Below are 1669 nucleotides of genomic sequence, written 5' to 3'. Positions count from 1 at the left end.
AGGAGGCTGAGGCAGGAGAATCACTTGAACCTGAGAGGCAGAGGTTACAGTGAGCCGAGATTGCACCATCGCACTCCAGCCTAAGCAACAAGAGCGAAACTCTGTCTCAAAAAAAAAAAAAAAAAGAACCCTAAAGAACATTGCAGTCAGGGCTCATGAGCTGCTTGCTTGAGCCTGCTCTCACTCTGTGGAGTGTACTTTCATGTCAATAAATCTGTGCTTGTGTTACTATGCCTTTTGGTTGCTTTGTTTGTGTGTTTTGTTCAATTCTTTGTTCAACATGCCAGGAACCTGGAGAGCTTACAGTCAAGACCTTCCATCCAGTAACAGTGATGATGATGCTGGTGGTGATGGTGTTTTGTAACTGTGCTTCTCAGACTCTGCCACACATGTGGGCCATGGGGACCTTGTGAAACGATGGGTTCTGGTTCCATTCAGACTCTGCTGTGCGTGTGGGTCGTGGGGATCTTGTGAAACCTTGGGCTCTGGTTCCATGGGTCTGCTGGGCTCACACGTCGCCATTTCTATGGAGCCTCAGCTGCTGCTGCTGCCACCTGCAGCAGGACCTGCAGAGCAAGCATTGATTGGCCAGGTTCTGCCCTGTGAGAAAGCCCCCAGGGTTCTGTGAAGCCTGAGATGCTGATCTTGGGCTGGGCTTTCAGGAGTCCCTCCCAGACATGCGCCACAGACCTGGCCAGTCAGAGTGCTCACCTCTGCCACCATCCGTGGTGGCCGGGGCCCCAAGACTGTGCCACCTTTGCCACACCAGGAACCGCCCTCTGAGTGCTGGCCCTAGAACAGATTGAAGAATTGGCTCTAGCAGTGCCTGGAAGGGCTCCACAGACAGAGTGCTGTGAAGACGATGTTGCTGATAGCGGCTATGCTCTGCCACGTCACGATGGCACCATCACCACAGTGCTCGCCTATGTGTGTAAGCGCAGCTCCCCCGGGGGCCAGCTGGTACAGCTGATGTCAGCCTTTGAGGAGGAGGTGTTAGTCCTGTTGGCCCTCCCCCAGTTTCCTGTGGACTTGGGGGCGCCTGGATGCTTATTTCTGTGGCCACACATGGGCTGCATGCACGGTGCAGCACATCTGGCTTGAGCCTCATCCCACGCTCAGTTCGTTATCAATTTCATGCAGAGACCGGTAGTCACAGCAGCTGCACAACTTTCCCGGGGCCTGCCACGGGTCTCATGACGTGAGTGCGGTGCTTCCTGCCCATGATGCTCACCAGGGCCTGTGGCCCTCAAGGTGCCGAGCTGCCCACACCTGCAGGTGATGAGACAGAGGCCCGGAGATCTGCAAATCGGAGGACTGATCTGACCCAACATTTTCCAGGCCAGCACTGAAAGACTGAGGATCCCCCAGGTTCTCGAGGTGTGGAGGGAGTGCTAGCCACGTGGCCAAGTAGAACCCACCGATTCCAGAGTCAGTCCCTGGGGTGCTTACATCCTGGATGGCTCCTGGGGCTGCTGCCCAGCACCCTTCTTCAAGTCCTGCAGCCCACCAGGCAGCGACTGCTCCCAGCCTGGCGCTGAACGTGGGCCCAGGAGGAGCAGAGGCTGTGGAACCAGAGAGGAGGGCTGGACCCCGTGGTACCACTTCACAGCCGAGTATCCCTGGGCAATCCCTGGGCAAAGGCCCTGATTTTTTCTTGGCTTCATTTGTT

At 56.1% G+C, this 1669-nt stretch overlaps 1 annotated feature.

Annotated features, from left to right (window-relative positions):
• Positions 948-1242: an enhancer, noted in NCBI's record as "tiled region #5092; K562 Activating DNase matched - State 8:EnhW". NCBI's record gives its function as "activates a minimal TATA promoter and a strong SV40 promoter by Sharpr-MPRA in K562 cells {active_cell/tissue: K562}" and the evidence as "EXISTENCE:reporter gene assay evidence [ECO:0000049][PMID:27701403]".

Source organism: Homo sapiens, chromosome 8 (genome assembly GCF_000001405.40).
Source record: "Homo sapiens chromosome 8, GRCh38.p14 Primary Assembly".
NCBI lineage: Eukaryota > Metazoa > Chordata > Mammalia > Primates > Hominidae > Homo > Homo sapiens.
Note: the sequence above shows the minus strand (reverse complement) of the source record. Positions and strands in the feature narration are given on the sequence as shown.